The sequence below is a fragment of the Homo sapiens genome, chromosome 6 (assembly GCF_000001405.40).
Source record: "Homo sapiens chromosome 6, GRCh38.p14 Primary Assembly".
Taxonomy (NCBI): domain Eukaryota; kingdom Metazoa; phylum Chordata; class Mammalia; order Primates; family Hominidae; genus Homo; species Homo sapiens.
Window position 1 is genome coordinate 110,978,648 of NC_000006.12, and position 23,054 is coordinate 111,001,701.

Consider the following 23,054-nt stretch of genomic DNA (forward strand, 5'->3'; position numbering starts at 1 on the left):
CATAATGAAAACCAGACAGATCAATTAAATAGAATTGTGGGTCCAGAAATAAACCCTTACAATTATGGTCGATTGATATTGCAAAAGGATGCTAAGACAATTCAATGGAGAAAGAATAATCTTTTCAACAAATGATGCTGGGACAACTGGATATCCATATACAAAAGAATAAAGTTGAACCCCTATCTCACACCATATATCAAAATAAAAATGGACCAAAGGCTTAAATATAAGAGCTGCAATTAAAAATGTTTGAAAGAAGACATAGGGTAAATCTTTGTGATGTTGGAATAGGGAATGGCTTCTTAGATATGATACCAAAAGCACAGGCAACAAAAGGAAAAAATATGTAAACTGGGCTTCAACAAAGTTCAAAAGATCTGTGCTGAAAAGCACATTAACAACAAGATAACGCCTACTAAATGGGATAAATATTTGCAAATTATGTATCAGGTAAGGGACTTATATCTGGAATACATGAGAAAATATTAGAACTCAACAATAAAAGGACAACCCAATTTAAAAACCGGGCAAAGGATTTGGATAGGCATTTTTCCAAAGAAGATATAAAAATGGGTAATCAATCAGCACATGAAAACATGCTCACCATCATTTGCCTTGCCATCAAGGAAATGAAAATCACAATGAGATACCACTCATATCTGTTAGGATGGCTTAATAAAACAGATGGACAATGCTAAGTTTTGGTGAGGAGTGGAGAAATTGGAACCTTTGGTAGATAGAACAATGCTTCCTTCAACTCCCAGCCCAAAGATGTTGAGAACCCCCAGGTATCTGTGAATATGTTACTTTATATGCCCAGAAGGAATTTGCTATACGATTAAGGATCTTGAGATTATCATGGATTATCCAGGTGATGCCCATGTAATCACAAGGGTTTTATTAAGAGGGAGTTAGGAGTGTCAGAGCATCAGAGAAAAAGATGTGACAATGGAAGAAGTTCAACTGATGATCTTTGAAGATGGAGAAATGCCAAAGTATGCAGACAGTCTACAGAAGCTGGAAAAAGCCAAGAAACCGATTCTCCCCTGAAGCCTCCAGGTGGAATGTAGTCCTACTGACTTCTTCATTTTATTTATTTATTTATTTAATTTATTTATTTATTTACTTAAGAGACGGAGTCTTACTCTGTTGCCCAGGCTGGAGTGCAGTGGTGCGATCTCAGCTTACCGCAACCTCCACCTCCCAGGTTCCAGTGATTCTCTTGCCCCAGCTTCCCAAGTAGCTGGGACTAGAGGCGTGCCACCACGCCTGGCTGATTTTTTGTATTTTTAGTAGAGATCGGGTTTCATGGTGTTAGCCAGGATGGTCTTGATCTCCTGACCTCATGATCCGCCCACCTCAGCCTTCCAAAGTGCTGGGTACAGGTGTGAGCCACTGCTTCCGGCCTACATTTTAGACCTGCAAAACTGATTTCAGACTTCTGACTTCCTGAAGTATAAAATAATAAATGTGTGATAATTTGTTACAACAGAAATAGGAAACTAATACCAAACTCTCTTACATTGCTCATGGGAATTTAAGTGGTGCAGGTGCTTTGGAAAACAGTTTACCAGTGCCTCAAAATGTTACACTTAAGAGTCAGCATATGACCCAGCAATTTTTCTCCTAGAGAATTGAAAATGTATGTCCACACAAAAATTTGTACACTAATATTCAAAGCAGCTGGGTGTGGTGGCACGCGCTTGTGGTCCCAGCTACTCGAGAGGCTGAAGCACTAGAATCACTTGAACCCAGGAGATGGAGGTTGCAGTAACCTGAGATTGCATCACTGCACTCCAGCCTGTGTGACAGAGTGAGACTCTGTCTCAGAAACAAAACAAAGCAAAGCAAAACAAAACAAAAAAACACAAAGCAGCATAATCCATAATAGCCAAAAAATAGGAACCATTCAAATGTACATAAGCTGCCGGGTACAGTAGCTCACGCCTGTATTCCTAGCACTTTGAGAGGCCAAGGCGGGTGGATTACCTGAGCTCAGAAGTTCAAGACCAGCCTGGCCAACATGGTGAAACCCTGTCTCTACTAAAAAATACAAAAGTTAGCAAGGTGTGGTGGTGCGTGCATGTAATCCCAGCTACTTGGGAGGCTGAGGCAGAACTGCTTGAACCCGGGAGGTGGACGGCGCAGTAAGCCAAGATCGCACCACTGCACTTCAGCCCTGGCGACAGAGCAAGACTATGTCTAAAATAAAAAAAGTACCTAGGTTGATAAATGGATAAACAAAATGTGGTATATCCATACAAAGGAATATTATTCAGTCCTAACAAAATGGAAGTACTGATCCACGCTACATGTATGAACCTCAAAAAGATAGTGAAAGAAGTCAAACACAAAAGGCCATACGTTGCACGAAACCATTTATATATGTTCAGAATAGGCAAATCCATTGAACATAAAGTAGATTATTGGTTGCCAAGGGCTGGCAGGAGGGGGAAGTGGGGCATGGACTGCTACTGGGTGTGTGTGTCAGGGGGGTTCTTTTTGAGGTGATTAAATATTCTGGAATTAGTGGTGATATTTGCACATCTTTGTGAATACACCAAAAATCACTGAATTGTACACTGTAAAGGGGTACATTTTATGGTATGTGAAGTATATGGTAACTTAAAAACTGGGGAAAAATCACGAACAGCAGTACATTTTCTGCGCATCTTTTATGTACTAGGCAACTGTGGTAGTCATAAATTCTGTCACACAGATCGCATAGTTGTCAATAGTGCCCCTTTCACATCAATGTTTTTAGTGCTTATGTGAGTACCTACCGTGCAATCAATCAACCTTTCTAGCATCCTGGGATTCCTTGAAGAATAAAATCTGGTTTCTGAATACCTGACTCCAGGTATGCACACTAGCGCGTACATCAAACTGCGAGGGTCTATGTTATTTTATTTTATTTTTATTTTATTTTTGAGACGAAGTCTCGCTCTGTCACCCAGGCTGGAGTGCAGTGGCGCGATCTCCGCTCACTGCAACCTCCGCCTCCCGGGTTCAAGCAGTTCTCCCTGCCTCAGCCTCCCGAGTAGCTGGGGTTAGAGGCGCCCGCCACCACGCCCGGCTAATTTTTGTATTTTTAGTAGAGACGGGGTTTCGCCATGTTGGCCAGGCTGGTCTCGAACTCCTGTTATCAGGTAATCCGCCCGCCTGGGCCTCCCAAAATCCTGGGATTACAGGCGTGAGCCACCACGCCCGGCCAGTGTTACTTAAAAGTATTACCTCGCACCTGTAACTCCAGGAAAGAGCCGGGGCAAAAATCCGTAACCAAGACAACAGGGCGCGATTCCAATCAAGATGGCCGCCAGCGCCTCTAGACGCCCTCTACGAGGCCGTCCCCGGAAGTGGCGTTACGCGCAGCTTCCGGTTCCGCCTGTTCCGGCGCACGTAATCGCCGAGGGCACGTGCATGCCCCCTGGTTAAGAGTTGCAGGTAGCGGTAGCGATGGACACTCTGGATCGAGTAGTGTAAGTGCGCTGGGTCTCAGCCCCGGGGAGCGTTGGGGTGAAAGGGTCCCGTGATGAGGGTGGTACTGTCTCGGCCTCTCACTCTTCCTGGTTACCCCTCTAATTACCTGGGTGGGGGCCGATCGATCACCAGCCCGGGTCCTCCTCAGCGCGAGCTGCTTGCCAGGAGACAGTGGGGAAGCTCTCAAGTGGGAGCCGTGGGATGGGAGGGATGTGGGATTGAAGCGTTGGCCGCTTTTATCCTAGCCAGTTGAAAAACGTCTGACTTCCGAAGTATGAGACAGATGGTATAGTGGGGTTAGGAGCACAGCCCTCGGAATCCGACAGATCTGAGTGACAGTCTGGCGCGTCCACTTAAAGCTTTGTGACTTTGGGTCATTAAATATCTCTAAATCTTAGCTTATTCTGTAAAATAGCGCTCACCATAGTCATACTTCATAGAGCTGTGAGGGTTAGTTTCGAGAATGTATGTAGAGCCTTTGCTGCAGCACGTAGAAATGTTCATTAGTTTTTTCTTTTCCTTCCAACTTTGTACACTCCTCTGAGTTATCCTTGAATGATACCTGTTTTAAATTTGTTCAAGAATATTTGGGCTAAACAGCCCTGCTGTTACTTGCTGTGATTTTCTTGCTATTTACCTAAGTTAACATGTATCCAAAACGACAGTTTTAGTCATTCAGAGATTTTGCACACCTGCTATGCCTCTAGCTGTTTGGACTACAAAGAGTAGTTTACTAGGTATTGGGACTAGTTCACACGTTAATTGGGAGCAGGCAGCTAATAAAACATGTTAATTGCTATTTGCATTTGTTGCTGTTTAATGAGATACAAAAGATAGAATAATTTGTATCTTTATCAACCAGTAAATGATCAGAAGCTTTATATGTGACATTATATCTGGAGGAGTATTTTAAAAATCTACATGGGAAACTTAAGTGTATGTATGGTCTCTTTTTCTTCCCAAAGTGTCCATGGGACTGGACGAGGGAGGGTCATAATTATTTGGGAGGAAGAATTCTTTCAGTAGATGGCAGAGAACTGTCTGAAAAGCAAGGTGCTCATTGTAGAGGAAGCAGAGGTGAAGCCCCTCTTTTGAACAGAAGTGTGTAAAAACATGCCACTCCTACTGTCACATCATAAAGTCAGAATAATGAATTTATTTTCCCTTCATATTTTACAGGGTAATTGGTCTAGACGAATTTTTAAATCTAGCTTTAAAAAATTTGTTTTTTTTTGAGACAGGGTATCACTCTGTCACCCAGGCTGGAGTGCAGTAGCCCCATCACAGCTCACTGCAGCCTCGACCTCCCTGGGATCAAGCAGTCCTCCTACCTCAGCCTGCTGAGTAGCTGGGACTATAGGCGCACACCACCACAGCTAATTTTTGTATTTTTTGTAGAGACAGGGTTTTGCATTGTTGCCCAGGCTGGTCTCGAACTTCTGGGCTCAGTGATCCATCCACCTTGGCCTCCTAGAGTGTTTTTATTACAGGCTGTGGGCCACCTCCCAGCCCTAGCTCATTTTAAAAATTGGCCTGTTTACTTGCTGTGTGATCTTGGGCACATTACCTGTCTGTTCAATTGCCTCATCTGTAAAGTGAAGATAAGAATTGTAACTCGCGCGTGGAGGCTCACGCCTGTAATCCCAGCACTTTGGGAGGCTGAGGCGGGGGGGTGGGTCACGAGGTCAGGAGATCGAGACCATCCTGGCTAACACGGTGAAACCTCGTCTGTACTAAAAATACAAAAAATTAGCCGGGCGTCGTGGCGGGCGCCTGTAGTCCCAGCTACTCGGGAGGCTGAGGCAGGAGAATGGCGTGAACCTGGGAGACGGAGCTTGCAGTGAGCCGAGATCGCACCACTGCACTCCAGCCTGGGCGACAGAGCGAGACTCTGTCTCAAAAAAATAAATAAATAAATAAATAAGAATTGTAACTCTCAGGATTGTGGTGAAGATTAAGCCTTAATAGAGTGACTCCATGTAAACATCAGCCTTATTATTCCCCATTGTTGGCAATAATACTGGCATTCTCAGCAATGATGTTGGAGTGCAACAGTGTATACTTCCTGGCAGGCATTGTGGTCTTAAACCTAAAAGAAAAATAAGCAGTCGTTAGTCTTATGTTTAGTAAATGTCCACAGGTTGATCAGCAGTTGATGCTCAATTCTTTGTATTAGGGTACAGGATACAGTTTGACTACTTAAAGTTTGAAGAAAAAAGAAGAGTAAGAAAGAGTAAGAGAAAAAAAACAGCAACAGTATTTACTTGAGCCTTTTATTTTTTACTTAAAAAAAAGATTGGAAAGAGCAGTAATAAAAGAATGGTGGGAATACAAAAATGAAAGCTTTTTTTTAAAAGCTATCAAAACACTTATTTAACAATAATAAGGAAATATCTTTTACTAATATCTACCAAAAAAGTGAGATTTTGGCCGGCCCTTGTGGCTCGCACCTGTAATCCCAGCACTTTGGGAGCCGAGGTGAGCGGATCACCTGAGGTCAGTAGTTCGAGAATAGCCTGACCAACATGGCGAAACCCTGTCTCTGCTAAAAATACAAAAATTACCCAGGCGTGGTGGTGTGTGCCTGTAATTCTAGCTACTCGGGAGGCTGAGGCAGGAGAATTGCTTGAACTCAGGAGGTGGATGTTGCAGTGAGCCAAGATTGTGCCATCACTCTCCAGCCTGGGTGACAGAGTGAGACTCCATCTCAAAAACAAACAAAAAAAAACAAACAAAAAAAAGAAAGTGAGATTTTTTTTAAGGGTGGAACCCTAAGTGACAAATATGTTTTTAAGAATTTTCATATTAGTTAAGTCATGGCTTTGCAATGTGAGGAAAATGTTTAAATAGTTATGAATTGTGCTTTTCTGAACAGAAAGCCCAAAACGAAAAGAGCCAAGAGATTCCTTGAGAAGAGAGAACCGAAACTCAATGAAAATATTAAAAATGCCATGCTGATTAAAGGGGGAAATGCAAATGCAACAGTGACAAAAGTACTTAAAGATGTGGTAAGTATATATACTTAATCTTTAAAAGGTATTGAAGTCATTTTAGAATTTTCAGCATGCTAGGATGGGCTGTCGGAGAAATACGTAGATAAGCTTGCCTTACCATAAGAACTACTAGTCTTAGAGAAGAGCTAAAGTTGGGGGTTTATTTACCTTGCGTGGCACCTTTTCTTAAAGCAACTAGTTCTCTTAGTAAATTTTATTATTGTTTTTTAGGAGCACAGGTGGGTCTGGTAGAGTGAAGGTCTCCCTTAGTAAATTTAAACTGTTTTCAATTACTAGAATTTGGCTTACTTACATTTTAGGAAAAAATCTAATTTGTAAAGAGAAGTAACTGCATATTGCTGTATATTTAGTCATTCAACAACACCGGTTACTGTGCCTCTGCTGGGAATTAATAGGTGAGACACAGTTCTTTCAGTGAGCTTAGAGAGATAGACATGTAAAAAGTTCTTACACTGTGCTGTGCTGGAGGCATGGACAGGGTAGGGTGGGAAACAGTTAAAATCACATAGGGGAGGCCAGGCACGGTGGTTCACGCCTGTAATCCCAGCACTTTGGGAGGCCGAGGCAGGAGGATCACGAAGTCAGAAGTTCGAGACCAGCCTGGCCAACATGGTGAAACCCCGTCTCTACTAAAAGTACAAAAATTAGCCGGGTGTGGTGGCGGGCGCCTGTAGTCCCAGTTGCTCGGGAGGCTGAGGCAGGAGAATCGCCTGAACCTGGGAGGTGGAGGTCACAGTCAGTCGAGATTGTGCCACTGCTCCAGCCTGAGTGACAGAGAGAGACTCCATTTCAAAAAAAAAAAAAAAAAATCACATAGGGGGACCCCCACACAGGGTAGGTTCCCCCAGAGATAACACTGCAGCTTCATTTTGAAGGAGAAGTTGGTGCAAGAAGTGGGAGAGAAAGAGAAGATCCTCTGAGGCTGAGAAAGAAGTTTGTGCAAAAGGGAGTATGAAGGAGCATTGATGCATTTGGAGAACTGTAAATAATTGGGCATGGCCAAAGGAGAGTGGGCTAGATGAGGCTAGAAGAGGAGGCATGGGTCACATAGTAACATGAAATTTGAATTCTAATCTGAAAGCTCCGTGTAATCATTGAAAGATATTAAGCAAGAGATACCATCAGTCCTTTTAATTGGCTTGATTAGAGAGGGTTGAGAGCAAATGTAGGAAACTAAGCCATTGCTGCCAGCTAGGTGAAGAGCATCTGGAGTCCAGTGGTGGCAATGAAAATGAGAAATGACCAGAAAGAATAGATGTTGAGGAAAGAAGAGTTGGGAACTAGTGAAAAGTATGACTTCCCAGGTGTTTGGCTTGAGTGCCTGATGGGCAATAATGCCAATTAGAAAATGTATCAAGCGGAGCAGGTTTGGAGGGAAAGGTGAAAGGTTCGGTTTGGGACATGTAATTTAAGTAATGAAAATAAAAGCTTTGTTTTTTCTACCTCTGTAGCCTAGTGTACAGCCCAGTGTCTGGACATAGTAGGTACTCAATATATATGTAATCTATGAAAGAAAGGCATAGTATGGGCCAGGCACAGTGGCTCACACCTGTAATCCCAGCACTTTGGGAGGCCGAGGTGGGCGGATCACGGGGTCAGGAGTTCGAGACCAGCCTGGCTAACACGGTGAAATCCTGTCTCTACTAAAAATGCAAAAATTAGCCAGCCATGGTGGTGGGCGCCTGTAATCCCAGCTACTAGGGAGGCTGAGGCCGGAAAATCTGCTTGGACCTGGGAGATGGAGGTTGGAGTGAGCTGAGACCACGCCATTGCACTTACTCCAGCCTGGGTAACAGAGCAAGACTCCAACTAAAAAAAAAAAAAAGACATAGTATGTGGAGATATCTAGTAGGTTATTTGACTAATTAGGCCTTGAGTACAGCCAATAGATCTTTGAATTAAATCAATTAAGTAATCGAATACATTTTTGTTGTTGTTATTGAGGTGGAGTCTCACGCTGTTGCCCAGGCTGAAGTGCAGTGGTGCCATCTTGGCTTACTGCAACCTCTGACTCCCGGGTTCAGGCGATTCTCCTGCCTCTAGCCTCCCAAGTAGCTGGGAGCCACCACACCCAGCTAATTTCTGTGTTCTTTTAGTAGAGACAGGGTTTCACCATGTTGGCCAGGCTGGTCACAAACTCCTGACCTGACATGATCTGTCCGCCTCGGCCTCCCAAAGTGCTGAGATTACAGGAGTGAGCCACCATGCCTGGCTTTGAATATATTTTAAACTTGACCAAACTCTATGCCTGATAAGCATAGTCAATTCAGATGTCTGAATGCCTTATATAGGCCCATCCCTTTTTTGAAATGTTTGTCTGAATTTCATTGTGCTAACGGGAAACTGCCCCTCTCCTTCTAGTATCCATCAGCACAATGACCCTGCATATTTAAGTAAGCTTTAAAAGCAGCACAATATTACAGATTACTACAATAATTAAAATTCATCATGATGACTCTGAGTCATCAAGAAGAGGTGGCAATGTTTATTACACGGAAACAGGGAAATAGTTGGCCAAGAATCATCAAAAGTTTTAGTACTTAAAAAGGTAGATTTTACTGTTGCATTTTCTTTGTTCACCAACTCTGATAGTTGATGAATGATTATTATACCTTATTTTTCATTGTTTCCCTCATTTACCCATTTCTCTAATGCAAGGTAGTACCTGATGACATCTTTGTTATTCTCTATGGTAGAGCAGTACTGGCCATACAAGTAATAAATGATTATAGGCCAGGTGTGGTGGCTCACACCTGTAATCCCAGCACTTTGGGAGGCTGAGGTGGGAGGATCACTTAAGCCTAGGATGACAGCCTGGACAACAAAGTGAGACCCCATCTCTATAAATTAAATTTAAAAAAATAATAAAATACAGCCTGGACAACATGGTGAAACCCCATCTCCACTCAAAATACAAAAATTAGCTGGGCGTGGTGCATGTGTCTGTACTTGGGAGGCTGAGATGGGAGGATCACCTGAGCCCTGGAGTTTCAGGCTGCAGTAAGCTTTAATCACGCCATTGCACTCCAGCCTGGGCAACAGAGTGAGACCCTGTCTCAAAAATAAATAAATAAAATAAAATGAATGATTATTTGTGGATAGGTAGAACTAGGAAAAAAATGAAGAACATTGAATAATAGGCATTTTTTAAAGAGCTGTGTTTAACCTCTGGCTAGTATTCTAATTGTCATCATTATTACTGTTTCTAAGTTTTCTGATCTCCACGCAACATTATTTCAATCTGTCAGCCTTTCGTGATAGAATTTATTTTTTCTGTTTTTGTCTACTACTTTTTTTTTTTTTTTTTCTGAGACAGGGTCTCACTCTATCACCAGAGCTGGAGTGCAGTGGTGCAATCACGGTTCACCACAGCCTCGAATTCCTGAGCTCGGGTGATCCTCCCGCCTTAGCCTCCCAAGTAGCTGGGACTGCAGGCATGCACCACTATGCCTGGCTAATTTTTGCAGTTTTTTGTAGAGACAGGGTTTTGCCATGTTGCCCAGGCTGGTCTCGAACTCCTGGGCTTGAGTGATCTGCCTTGTCCTCCCAAAGTGTTGGGATTACAGGCGTGAGCCACTGCACCTGGAATTGTTTCCCTAGAGAGAGACTGGACTAAGTCGAGTTTAAAGAAATGAAGGAAATTGTTTAAGTTGGATAGACTATTGACAGGGCATAGAAACTTTTAAATAGGAAAGTCTAGTCCAAGAATATTAAGCTTACATTTCAAGTTACTGTAAGTGATGAAAAGGGAGCCAGGCAGAAGCCCTCAGAATAAGATTGAGGCCCCAGAGCAATCTTGGAGAGTGACTGTTATGATGCTTTATTTTTATTTCTGCTTTTCAGAATGTGTTTTGTTTTGAAAGCTATAAATTTTGTTTTACAGTATGCACTGAAAAAACCATACGGTGTACTATATAAAAAGTAAGTCATGATTTCTTTTACTGTATTTTAAATGATTTTGTTTCATTATAAAAGTAACCACTTTATGGAAGATTTGGAAAACAAAAACTTTTTAAAAAGATATTAAAATTCCTTACAGTTATTAATATTTTAATTTCTTTCTTTTGGTCTGTTTTTTTCATTTGTATTGAATGTCCTTGCATAGTTGTAACCATAGCATATATATTTTATTTTGAAATACAGATTTACAGAAAAGTGCAAAAATAATGCAGAATTCCCATATACCCTTCACCTGGCTTCCCCTAATGTTACATCTTGCATAACCGTAATGCAATGATCAAAACTAATAAATTAACACCGATTCACTCATGTTAATCAAATGACAGACATATTTGATTAGCACCAGTTTTTCTTTTTTCCTTCTTTTGAGACGGAGTCCTGTTGTCGCCCGGCTGGAGTGCAGTGGCATGATCTCTGCTCACTACAACCTCTAACTCTGGGTTCAAGCAATTCTTCTGCCTTGGCCTCCCATGTAGCTAGGATTATAGGCACGTGCCACCACGCCTGGCTAATTTTTGTGTGGTTTTTTTTTTTTTTTTTGAGACGGAGTCTAGCTTTGTTGCCAGGCTGGAGTGCAGTGGCATGATCTCGCCTCGCTGCAACCTCTGACTCCCTGGTTCAAGTGATTCTCCTGCCTCAGCCTCCTGAGTTGGGATTACAGGCATGCACCTCCATGCCCAGCTCATTTTTGTATTTTTAATAGAGACAGGGTTTCACCATGTTGGCCAGGCTGGTCTTAAACTTCTGACTTTAGGTGATCTGCGCGCCTTGGCCTCCCGAAGTGATGGGATTACAGGCGTGAGCCACCCCGCCCGGCCCAGTTTCTTTTTTCTTTCTTTTCTTTTTTTTTTAAGACGGAGTTTCACTCTTGTTGCCCAGGCTGGAGTGCAGTGGCATGATCTAAGGTCACTGCAACACCTGCCTCCTGGGTTCAAGCAATTCTCTTGCCTCAACCTCCCGAGTAACTGGGATTACGGGCATGCGCCACCACGCCCGGCTAATTTTGTATTTTTAGTAGAGACGGGATTTCTCCATGTTGGTCAGGCTGGTCTCGAACTCCCGACCTCAGGTGACCTGCCCACCTCGGCCTCCCAAAGTGCTGGGATTACAGGCGTGAGCCACCGTGCCCGGCCCTAGTTTTCCTTTTAATACTCTTTTTCTCTTCAGGATCCCATGTTGCATTTAGTTTTCATGCCTCCTTAGTCTTCTCCAATTTGTGACAGTTCCTTAGTCTTTCATTGTCTTTGATGACCTTGACATTTTTGACAAGTACTTGTCAGTTATTTTGTAAATTATCCCTCAATTTGGGTTTAAATTTTCTCATGAATTGATTGAGGTTATGCATGTTTGTCAAGAACACTACAAAAATGTTGTGCTTTCCTCATATATTCTTCTGGATTATAATCCAGTGTTCTTAATTTTGTTGCTTAAATTGTTCTGTTTGGCAATTGGGAACCCCCCCCCCCCCCACCTTTTCTTTTGTTTGTTTTTTTAGTATGAGACGGAGTCTCACTCTTTCACCCAGCCTGGAGTGCAGTGGTGCGACCTCAGCTCACCACAACCTCTGGCTCCTGGGTTCAAGCGATTCTCCTGCCTCAGCCTCCTGAGTAGCTGGGATTACAGGTGCCCAGCTAATTTTTGTATTTTTAGTAGAGACAGGGTTTCACCATGTTGGCCAGGCTGGTCTCAGACTCCTGACCTCAGGTGATCCACCAGCTTCAGCCTCTCAAAGTGCTGGGATTACAGGCGTGAGCCACTGCTCCCAGCTGGGAACTCTTTTACGTTGGTTCCTATGACCTTTCAACATGCCTCCTGTTTTTGAGCACTTCCTTACTTTCTAACATCACAAAATTATCTGGGTTCATCTTGTCTTTTTCCTTACCACAGCCCTGGAATAAGCTACAGTCATCCCTCAGTATCTGTGGGCGATGGGTTCCAGAAACCTCCCCTTATTAAAATCTGGGTATGCTCGTCTCTTACATAAAATGGCCTAGTATTTGCATATAACCCACACACTTCCTCCTGTATCCTTTTTTTAAAAAATGCTTCCCATAAAAGTAAGTTGCATATACTTTAAATCATCTCTCGATTACTTATAATATCTAATATAATGTAAATGCTATGTAAATAGTTATAATGCTGTATTTTCTGGTTTATCCTGCTTTTTATTGTTCCTTTTTCTTTTTATTTCTTAACTTTTTTTTTAGAGACGGGGTCTCACTGTTACCCAGGCTGGAGTGCAGTGGCACGATCATATTTCACTGTTGTAAGCCACTGTGCTCGGCGCCCCCTGCTTTTTTTTTTTTTTTTAACACACTTTCTTTGTCTATTGAATACTGTCAATCCGTGGTTGGTCAAATCAATCCATGGATGCAGAAGGATGCAGAATCCATATGTACAGAGGACTACTTATTTTCCACGAGCCTATAAACTCCATGAAAGCAAGCATCTTGTTTAATGTAGTAGTATAGTATCACTAGCTCCTAGAATGGTAGCCTGGCATATAACAGGCACTGAATAAATATTTGAATGAATGAATATCCTTTCAATTGTTTTATCATCTGAATATAAAATTACCTTAATATATTAATTGTATATACTTATTTAGATTATTAAAATTGTCACTTTTTTGATATTCTTAGGAAAAATATTACAAGACCTTTTGAGGATCAGACATCACTGGTAAGTATAATAATCTTTATGATTTAAGAAAGCATATAAGTAGTAATTATTCAGACTAATTCATTTGTACTCCAAATTTGTGATTTTTTTAAACATTAGAAGTCATCCTGTGTGAGGGAATTTTGTGTAAAATGGAGAGGAAATACTTTAAAAAATATCTATAGAGCTTTCATTTCACTATGGCTGGGAAATGTGTTTTTCATTGCCTGCAAATATATTGATAAAATTTTTAAAACTTGGCCGGGCGCGGTGGCTCACGCCTGTAATCCTAGCACTTTGGGAGGCCAAGGCAGGTGGATCACCTGAGATTGGGAGTTCAAGACCAGCCTGACCAACATGGAGAAACCCCGTCTCTACTAAAAATACAAAAAAAATTAGCCGGGCGTGATGGCACATGCCTGTAATCCCAGCTACTAAGGCGGCTGAGGCAGGATAGTCACTTGACCCCGGGAGGCAGAGGTTTCAGTGAGCCGAGATCACGCCATTGCACTCCAGCCTGGGCAACAAGGGTGAAACTCCGGCTCAAAAAAAAAAATATTTAAAACTTGAGTTGCATTTAAAGGACATAATGAATTTTCAAAAGGAAGTTTGTTATAGATCTATTTTTATAAAGCAAGTTTGAGTTTTAAAAATATGACTCTTCCTTCAGATGTTTTTACTTTTTTTTTTTTTTTGAAGCTTGGGTCTTGGTATGTTGCCCAGGCTGGTCTCAAACTCCTGAGCTCAAGCAATCCTCCTGCCTCAGTCTCCCAAGTAGATGGGACTACAGGTGTACACCATCACACACAATTGGATACTTTTAAAACAAGGAACACTACCTGAATTATTGCTAACAGATGTCAGTTGCTTTCCTAGAGTTAATCAGATTCTTATTTGAGTGTATAGTCAACCAAAACTAAATGAAAAAACTGGTTAGTGAAATCAAAGATTGTTTATAGTAAATGGAGAATGATGAATGGACTTTCAGTATGTGATGATATTGGTTTCTTCCTTAAGAAAATCATCAGGGGCCAGACACAGTAGCTCACGCCTGTAATCCCAGCACTTTGGGAGGCCAAGGCAGGAGGATCGCTTGAGCCTAGGAGTTCGAGACCAGCTTGGAAAACGTAGCGAGACCCTGTCTCTATTTAAAAAATAAAAATAAAAAAACTTAATATGATTATGTTTTCTTGATAGGAACCCATTGTTTATTTTGAAATAGGGTCTGGCTCTGTTGCCTAGGCTGGAGTGCATTGGAATGATCTCTGCTCACTGCAGTCTCCACCTCCCAGACTCAAGCCATTCTCCCATGTCAGAAGCAGGGACTGCAGGTGCACGACACGATGCCTGGCTAATTTTTGTAGAGATAGGGCTTTGCCATGTTGCCCAATCTGGTTTTAAACTCCTGAGCTCAAATGATCTGCCTGCCTTGGCCTCCTAAAGTACTGGGATTATGGGTGTAAGCCGTCACACCCAACCAGGAACCCATTATTTGTTGTTGTTTTTTTTCTTAAGTTCACTTGACCTTTTTAATGTTTTTTTTTCTTTTAGTTAGTGAATTTAAAAGAAAGAAATTAATCTCAATGATAAATTAGATTAAAATCAAATAATCTTATTGTAACTAACTGCAGTGAAAATTAAGATAGTATTGATAAAATGCATTTTACTCAGTTTTTTTCAAATTACTTTTATTTGTCTCAGGTTTTTTACAGTCATTTGTTGAAGAGATCATGAAAGTAAAAATATAAGATTTATCTCAGAATTCTCTTTCATATAGTACTTAATCAAGGCCTGGTTTTGTTTTTGTGATACCATAATGCTTTTAGTTGCATGACCACTTTGTGGCAGTGTTACATAGTGAAAGCTGTAGCATTTGAGCTTTTTTAGTCTAGTGTTGATAAAAGCTGACAACAGCTTTTCTTACACTTGAGGTTGTGACATTCCCTCTATTTGATCTCCCACCTCCAGTTATAGTATATATTTATTAGCTATCTGAATCCCAGACCTACGGAGCTCAAAATGGCTATGGAAGGAGTGGTTGTGTTGGAAATAGTGGTCAATTTTCTCCTCCTGACCCTCTCCACACATTTTTTTTACTACAATCTTGGATAAATGAGTTTTGCTGCTTTAGAGAGGGGTTGGCAAAAATATACTGCTTGCAGATCAAATCCCTCTTTGTGTGAGGCTCATGAGCTAAGAATGGTTTTTACATTTTTAAAGAGTTGGTTAGGCTGGGCATGGTGGCTCATGCCTGTAATCCCAGCGCTCTGGGAGGCCAAGGCGTGTGGATCACCTAAGGTCAGGAGTTCGAGACCAGCCTGACCAACATGGATAAACCCTGTCTCTATTAAAAATACAAAATTAGCCAGGCGTGGTGGCACATGCCTATAATTCCAGCTACTCGGGAGGTGAGGCAGGAGAATCACTTGAACCCGGGAGGTGGAGGTTGCGGTGAGCCAAGATTGTGGCATTGCACTCCAGCCTGGGCAACAAGAGTGAAACTCCATCTCAATAAAAAAAAAAAAAAGAGTTGGTTAGGCTGGGCACCGTGGTTCATACCTCTAATCCCGTTGTTTTGGTAGGATGAAGTGGGAGGATTGCGTGGGGCCAGGATTTCTAGACCAGCCTAGGCAACATATTGAGATCCCATCTCTTAAAGAAAATTTAAAAATTGGCAGGAAATGGTGGTGGGAGCCCAAGTGCTAACTATCTGGGAGACTGAGGGTGGAGGATCAGCTGAGTGCAGGAGTTTGAGGTTATAGTGAGCCATGATTGCACCACAGCACTTTTAGCCTGGGCAACAGAGTGAGACCTTGTCTCACAAAAAAAAGAAGAGTTGGCTAAAAACAAAACAAAAGAATGAGCCTAAAATACTTATTATATGGCTTTTTGCAGGTAATTTGACTACCCCGTTCTAGAATTTTAAGAAATAAAAAGCAGACTTTGTGGAGAATGGGATGAGTATATATACACACACACACACACACACACACACACACACACACGAGTATGTATGTATATAAAACACTCAAGTATATATGAGGGGTGTTTTATGGAAAGCTTTGAGATGTTAGTCATACCATGAAAATGTTTTTAAAATTTTAAGAAAGTAATTCCATTGATTTAGACATACAAAATAAATATATATATTTTAATTGAGACAGGGTCTCACTCTGTCACCCAGGCTTGAGTGCTATGGCGCCATCTCAGCTCACTGCAACCTCCACCTCCCGGGTTCAAGCGATCCTCCCACCTCAGTCTCCTGAGTAGCTGGGACCACAGGTGTATACCACCATACCCGGATTTTTTTTGTATTTTTACTAGAGACGGGATTTTGCCACGTTGCCTGGGCTGGTCTCCAACTTCTAAGCTCATGCAATGCACCCACCTCAGCCTCCCAAAGTGCTGGGGTGACAGGCAAGAGCCACCACACCTGGCCATAGAAAATATTTTTTGGACACCCACTTTGTTCAGGACATTGTACAACTTTGTACAAGGTGTGTTCACATATGACATCGCATGTGGCCTTTGCAAGTTTTTGCAGGAGGTGGTATTATCCCTATTGATAAAGTTAATTCTCAGAAAAGATTATTTGTCCAGATATTTAGTGGCAGAGCCTGAATTCTTGGACTTTCTGACTCTGCATCCCCCACTCTGGTTGTGGACAGGCCAGGTGGGTAGTTGTTTGCCATTTATGCTTCTGTTTAGAGGCTAGAATGAATGATAACCAAACTAGGGGCCCATACCTTGGAGAGTCTTGTAAGGAGTAAAGAAAAATGGAGGGTTATGACTCTTTCATCTGTTTTTTTCTTTAATATTAAGTTAAGAGGCTTTCCAATTGATTTCTGGACTAAAACATGTTGATTCTAATTTTCGTGCTAAAAGTGGTGATCTCAGTAAACTGAATCAAAGCATGCGGGATGTGGAGACTACAGGCATAATGTAAAAAGAGCTGTCTAGGATTAGAACCCCACACCTAGATTTTTTTAGTACTCTGAAATCTGTAATGGAAGTCTGTACTTCTGAGAACCAAATGGATAAGATCTCTCTCTTTCTTTTTTCCAAGATGGTGTCACTCTGTCACCCAGGCTGGAGTGCAGTGATGCCATCACGGCTCACTGCATGTAGCCTTGATCTCCTGGTCTCAAGCGATCCTTCCTCCCACCTCAGCCTCCCAAGTAGGTGGGACTATAGATGCTCATCACCATACCCAGCTAATTTTTTGTATTTTTCTTAGAGACAGGGTTTCACTATGTTGCTCAGGCTGGTTTCAAACTCCTGATCTTAAGCCATCCACCTACCTCAGCCTTCCAAAGTGTTGGGATTACAGACGTGAGCCACTGCACCCAGCCAGATAAGTTTTTTTTTTTTTTTTTAAGATAGTCTTGCTCTTATTGTCCAAACTGGAGTGCAGTGGTCTTGTTGCCCAGACTGGTATGCAATGCTTTTGTTGCCCAGGCTGGAGTGCAATGGTGTGATCTTGGCTCACTGCAACCTCCGCCTCCCAAGTTCAAGGAATTCTCCTGTCTAAGCCTCCTGAGTAGCTGGGATTACAGGCATGCACTACCATGCCTGGCTAATTTTTTTATTTTTAGTAGAGACAGGGTGTCACCATGTTGGCCAGGCTGGTCTCAAACTCCTGACATCAGGTGACCTCAGGTGATCCGTCTGCCTCAGCCTCCCACAGTGCTGGGATTACTGGCATGAGCCACCTTACTGGGCCTCGTGTGTTTTGAATGTATGCAATGATAGTAGTGATATCCTGCGAGTAAAAGGAATTTGTTCAGCAAATGAAACACTTGGTGTGCTATTCCAAAATGACAGCATAACAAAATAAATGGTTTCATTTTATTTATTAACTGAATAGTTTTCATGTATTCTTAGTCTTGAAATGCACATCTTTTCCCTAAGTACCCCAAATCAGGAAACTTGAAGTAAAAAGCTGGAAATACCTTTCCTCTGTATTTTTCTTTCTGGTTCATTAAGTCTTCATTAACTTCCACTGGAAGAAAAAAACTGTTAGAGTTTTTTGTTTCGTTTTGTTTTGTTTTTTTTAGACAGAGTCTTACTCTGTTCCCCAGGTTGGAGTGCAGTGTCGCATTCTCAGCTCACTGCAACCTCTGCCTTCTGGGTTCAAGCGATTCTCGTGCCTCAGCCACTAAGGTAGCTGGGATTACAGGCGTGTGCCTTCACACCTGGCTGTCTTTTGTATTTTTAGTAGAGATACGGTCTTACCTTGTTGGCCAGGCTGGTCTCAAACTCCTGATCTCAAGTAATCAACTCGCCTCGGCGTCCCAAGTGCTGGGATTACAGGTGTGAGCCACCGTGCCTGGCCTGAAGGTAAGATTTTTAAAGGTAAGATTCTTAAAGTTCTTAAATTTATGCATGGACTAAATGGGATTTATTTGGTTTTATAGGAATTCTTTTCAAAGAAGTCAGATTGTTCTTTATTCATGTTTGGCTCCCATAATAAGAAGCGGCCAAATAATCTAGTAATAGGTAAGTATAATTTACTTTTTAATGTTTTCACTGATAGAGTCAATTTGTTAGCAGCAGCGAATTCATACGGGTCTGCAGCAACTTGGTTCTTGCCTCTTCAGAGGAAATAATTCATCCAAGAGGCATAGGCAGAGTAAGAGACTGAGGGAAGTATTTGAACAGGAGTGAAAGTTTATTAAAAAGTTTTAGAGCAGGGGCCTGGCATGGTGGTTCATGCCTGTAATCCCAGCACTTTGGGTGGCGAGGTGGGTGGATCATTTGAGGCCAGGAGTTCGAGACCAGCCTGGCCAACATGGTGAAACCCCATCTCTACTAAAAATACAAAAATTAGCCAGGTGTAGTGGCGCGTGCCTGTAGTCCAGCTACTCAGGAGGCTGAGGCATGGAGGTAGCAGTGAGCCAAGATGGCGCCACTGTACTCCAGCCTGGGTGACAGAGTGAGACCTTGTCTCAAGGAAAAAAAAAGTTATAGAGCAGGAACAAAGGAAGTAAAAGGAAGTGAAGTACGCTTTGAGCGCCAAGCAGGCAACTTGAGAGATTCATGTGTGCTGTTTGACCTTTGACTTGGGGGCTTTATATGTGTTGGTATGCTTCAGGGGGGTTGGTGTCTCTTCTCCCTTGATTTTTCTTTTCTTCTTTTTTTTTTTTTTTCCTGAGACGGAGTCTTGGTCTGCTCCATCACCCAGACTGGAGTGCAATGGCCCAATCTCGGCTCACTACAACCTCCGCCTCCCGAGTTCAAGCAATTCTCCTGCCTCAGCCTCCCGAGTAGCTGGGACTACAAGTGCCCACCACCACACCCAGCTAATTTTTGTAATTTTAGTAGAGACGGGGTTTCACCATGTTGGCCAGGCTGGTCTTGAACTCCTGACCTCAAGTGATCCACCCGCCTTGGCCTCCTGAAGTGCTGGGATTACAGGCGTGAGCCAGCATGCCTAGCCTCCTACCTTGATTTTTCCTTGGGATGAGCTGTCTGCCTGTGCAGTGGCCTGCCAGCACTGGGAGGGGCCACATGCACGGTGTGTTTATTGGAGTTGTACGTATGCTCATTTGAAGCATAGAGCAAGTTCATATACCAGTTGAAGTCAGCCATTTTGCCTCCTAGTGTGCATGCTTGAGCCCACCCACCCAACTCCTGAGATCTTATTGGGAAGCAGCTGATTACTAGCTGCTGATTACTGCTGATCCACCCACCTTGGCCTCCCAAAGGGCTGGAATTACAGGCGTGAGCCACTGTGCCCGGCCTGATCTAAAAATTTTTTATTCAATGTCACAAGGTGAAAACAAAACCAAAAAACCCCACCAAACTAGTTTACAGCTTATTGATTACTCCTGATTCCTCAATACCATCAGTTAATCTGAGTCACAGAGCTTGTTACAGTAGATAGGCAGACACGCACAGGACAGGAGAGGCTGCCCACTCACCCGACCCCAACCAGGAATGTCAGGCGACCATCAGGTGACAGTCAGGCAGCTGTTTAACTGTCTCTCTAAAATAATAATTGGTTGCAGCCAGTGCCAAGGAGAGGCAGGCTCCCAAGAAATAGATTACACACCTGTAATCCTAGTTACACAGGAGGCTAAGACAGGAGAATTGTTTGAACCAGGGAGGCAGAGGTTGCAGTGAGCCGAGATCATGCTATTGCACTCCAGCCTGGGTAACAGAGCAAGTCTTCATCTCAAAAAAAAAAAAAAAAAAATTTATGTCGGTCAGCAAGTAAAGAATGGGGCATATAAATATGACCCTACCAATACAGTGAAGTGCCACAAGTAAGAAAGAATATGAAAAGATTCCCTGGTAATTCATGTTTCTTAGAATGCCTTTTCCTTCTGTCTCTGTCGGAATCAAATTCTGGTTTAAATGGGAAGCGTGGTCTCTTCGGGCTCTCAGCATCCCTGCCTACTTAGTTGTAGATGCAGCACAATTACTTTATACTTGCATTGAGTGTCTCTGAGCTCCCAAATAGCATGGATCCATTGGAATTGGGGGGGAAAATTATCCTAAGTTGTAGATATTTTTTTCATATGAAATATATATATGTACTAAATCAATATTAGAAAAAAAAATGTATCGACCCACATAAATTAATCCTTCTCTAATATCTATTGAATAAATAGATTTGAAAAAGAACCTTTACCTCAGTGTATTGAGATTGAGCCTGGCATGCTCACTGGCTTAGGCAAGCCCTTTACCTTCTGTAGGCTGTCATTTATTCTTCTATAAAATAAAGGAGTTGGGCTAAGTAATATCTGAGATCCTTTCCATGACTAATATCATAAAAATCAATAAGTAGAGTTGAAAATGTAAGAAAGTGGGATATGTTTGCGGGGGTATAGGGAGAAAAAAGAGGCAGATATTAGGACATTTTGAATACACAGCTCTTGTGGGTATATGTAAGGTGGCTCTTTGGGAAAAATACATGCTTAAAAATACATTTTCCTTCCAGGTCGTATGTATGACTACCATGTGCTGGATATGATTGAATTAGGTATTGAGAATTTTGTCTCTCTAAAAGACATTAAGGTAAGATACTCATAGAAATGAAAAGTATTTTGTAATGCTTCTCTTGACCAGTAGTGACATCTTGTGGTGAAGAGTACTGATAGAGTTTTGTAGATCAAGAACTTTGTGTTTTTATTTTGACATGCTCCAGGATAAAAATACAATTTTATTTTACCTTTCTTTTAAAAAGAGGAATATATTTGTAGTGAATAGCAACATATGTGGACTTTGTGGCTGTTAGACTTCAGACTGTGGTTACTAATTCTTGTCTAGGCCATAGTTTTTTTATTTTTTGTTTTTATTTTTTGCTTTTTTCATAGTTTGAATTTATTTTTTATTATTTTGTTTTATTTTTTTGAGACAGGGTCTCACTCTGTCACCCAGGCTGGAGAGCAGTGGCATGAACATGGCTTACTTCAGCCTTGACCTCCTGGGCTCAAGCAATTCTCCTACCTCAACCCCCAAGTAGCTGGGACTACAGGCACATGCCAGCACGCCCAGCTAATTGTTTTGTATTTTTATTGTAGAGACAGGGTTTTGTCATGTTTCCCATGTTGCCTAGGCTGGTCTCAAATTCCTGACCATGGTGTGAGCCAAAGCACCTGTAGGTCTATAGTTTAAATACTGTCCTCTTCCTCTGAATTATCACAGCACCTATTTTATGGAACCTTAGAAAAACCTGTAGAATTTTCAAATTGAACCCAGGAAGCTCTGGCTGATTCTATAGTATGTTGGTTACTAACCACCAAATGGCAGGTCAGTTCACCCTTGGGGAGTTGCATCTTTGTTTTAATGATATTATGAAATAGAAAGTAGTAAATGGTAGTAAAAATACTCTTAGAAAGGCAGGAAGAGTGTTCTAACTCAGCTCCTGGGTACAAATTGGGCTTCTGTTCCCTCAGAACTCTGCTTCAGGCTTAATCTATCTTATCAAATACATTATTTCACCTAGACCTCATAGCAATCTGGGTAAGGCCTAAGTAATTTTCTTTTTTGTATAGATTGGGAGATTGAAGGCCCATAGGGGTTTCATTGGTGAACTAGAATCACACATATGGTCAGTATAACCAAGATTAGGACTCTAGGGCTTTGAGAGAAGTGATGTTGTTGGTAATAGAAGGTTATATAACTGCTCTCAGTTTATGGGTTTTTGAGGCTCATGGTCTAGTTGGAAGTATTGTAGCAAAAATGTATAATTACTCTTTTCCTGACTTTAAGAGGAGGACATGCTTTCCAGGTTTGGTAGAATTCCTGTACTAAGCAACTTTATCCCGTGAGTTTGGAAAAAAAGGTTCTTACCAGATCCCTATTTAGTCAGTCACCCCAGTTTCCTCAGGTACAGGTGGAACAGTGGTCTGAAATTAGATTTAGAGGCAGAACACTTGGATTTGAGGCCTGTCTTGGCTATTTAGATGACATTTGTGACCTGACAAGTCAATGGCTTCCTTGACCTTCAGTTGCAATCACATGTAAAATAAGTATAACAACATCAAATGAGATAATATATGTGAAAATGCTTATCAGTAAAGATAATATTTTGTAACGTATTTTGTAAAGTACATAAACTGTGATGCTTGATTATGGTGGAAGCCCTCATATTATTTTTCTTTCTGTTTTTTTTTTTCTTTCGAGACAGGGTCTTGCTCTGTCACCCAGGCTGGGGCGCAGTGGCGCGATCTCAGCTCACTGCAGCCTTGACCTCCTGGGCTCAAGCAATCCTCCCACCTCAGCCTCCCAGGTAACTGGGACTATAGGTGTGTGCCACCTCACCTGGCTAATTTTTTTTTTGTAAAGACAAGCTCTCACAGTGTTGCCCAGACTGGTCTCAAACTCCTGGGCTCAGGAGATCCTCCTCCTCAGCCTCCCAAAGTGCTGGGGTACCCAGCTGTCATTATTATAGTGTCTCTTTGGGACCATGCACGAATCTCTGGAGAT

The 23,054-nt window shown here is 42.0% G+C and overlaps 1 protein-coding gene across 2 annotated transcripts in view; it reads left to right on the forward strand.

Moving 5' to 3' along the window:
* Nucleotides 1-3,390: 3,390 nt before the first annotated feature.
* The window catches only part of RPF2 (ribosome production factor 2 homolog), a 46,226-nt gene continuing 26,562 nt past the window's right edge, over nt 3,391-23,054 (forward strand). Inside the window, exons 1-6 of one of the 2 annotated variants that reach the window (NM_032194.3) lie at nt 3,391-3,482; nt 6,359-6,491; nt 10,381-10,418; nt 13,100-13,139; nt 18,536-18,617; nt 21,064-21,140. In NM_032194.3, the coding sequence (NP_115570.1) occupies nt 3,460-3,482; nt 6,359-6,491; nt 10,381-10,418; nt 13,100-13,139; nt 18,536-18,617; nt 21,064-21,140 (393 nt within the window). In that variant the 5' untranslated portion in view covers nt 3,391-3,459. The remainder of the gene's footprint in view (nt 3,483-6,358; nt 6,492-10,380; nt 10,419-13,099; nt 13,140-18,535; nt 18,618-21,063; nt 21,141-23,054) is intronic. The other variant, NM_001289111.2, reaches the window with a different exon arrangement.